Source organism: Homo sapiens, chromosome 6 (assembly GCF_000001405.40).
Source record: "Homo sapiens chromosome 6, GRCh38.p14 Primary Assembly".
Classification (NCBI taxonomy): Eukaryota; Metazoa; Chordata; class Mammalia; order Primates; family Hominidae; genus Homo; species Homo sapiens.
In genome coordinates this window covers 69,631,458-69,632,338 of record NC_000006.12, presented here as the reverse complement: position 1 = coordinate 69,632,338, position 881 = coordinate 69,631,458, and the positions used below count along the sequence as shown (strand labels likewise).

The 881-nt window shown below is 43.7% G+C and overlaps 1 annotated feature.

The window, feature by feature from the left end:
• Window positions 267–316: an enhancer, noted in NCBI's record as "active region_24725". NCBI's record gives its function as "activates an Ori minimal core promoter by ATAC-STARR-seq in GM12878 lymphoblastoid cells {active_cell/tissue: GM12878}" and the evidence as "EXISTENCE:reporter gene assay evidence [ECO:0000049][PMID:35858748]".

Genomic DNA, 881 nt, shown 5'->3' with positions numbered 1-881 from the left:
CCTTCATTTATAATCTGTTGAGCACCTACTGTGTAACAGCTACTCTTTAAAGAAGCACACATCATCCTTTTTATCAAAACTATGACTGAACAACTGCATTCAAGCTGATGTCTGCTATTTACTGACAAACAACTAAAAACAGTCACATCACCTCAAAGCTGGTTTCTCTTCCTGCATCTCCATGGGTGACACAAGTAAGCCTGCATCTTTCCTCTTTTTCTATCTCAACTTCTTTTCATGGTCTGCTGTGTTTTCTCTGTATCCCTTGCTGCTTTTGGTTCCAGGCCCTTCTTTCTTAAGATGAAGTTTCTGAATCACTGCTATCAGCAGGGAGTCAGGCAGCATGCAGAATAGTCAGAGGCAGATCGTTGGAAACTCGTGGCTTTTTAATTTAAAGGTTGACTAGGTTACCCTGTAGCAAAGAGGTGTGTTTTCTCATTTGTTTGTTTGTTTCTTTTGTGATTTTTCTTTTCATAGGTTCACAAAAAGGAGGTGAGCCAGATGGTTCCTGGAAAGAAAAGAACAAAGAAATTGCAGTAATCACAAGCCCTGGGCAGAGATAACCACAAAACCTCACCTTAAGAAGCAGATCTGAGCCACAGGAGTGAGGTTTTTCTTTTCTTGGATGATTTGGCAAGCCTCTCCCTGCAGAGCTTGTACTGCAGCCACAAATGTCTGCAGATCGGCCTCCAGCCCTCAGTGAGCAAATGAGAACGTGGGTCATCACCCTTTCCATTTCTGCTCCACTTTTTGCTTCCCAGGAGTTCAGGCTGGGCTCACATTCTCCCTCAGCAAGGACTCAATCAGTCCTCTTCCTTCTAAATGGTGCCTTGTGTGCAAAGCTGAAAAAGGATAGCTCTCTGTAGGGACTGATGGGGCAT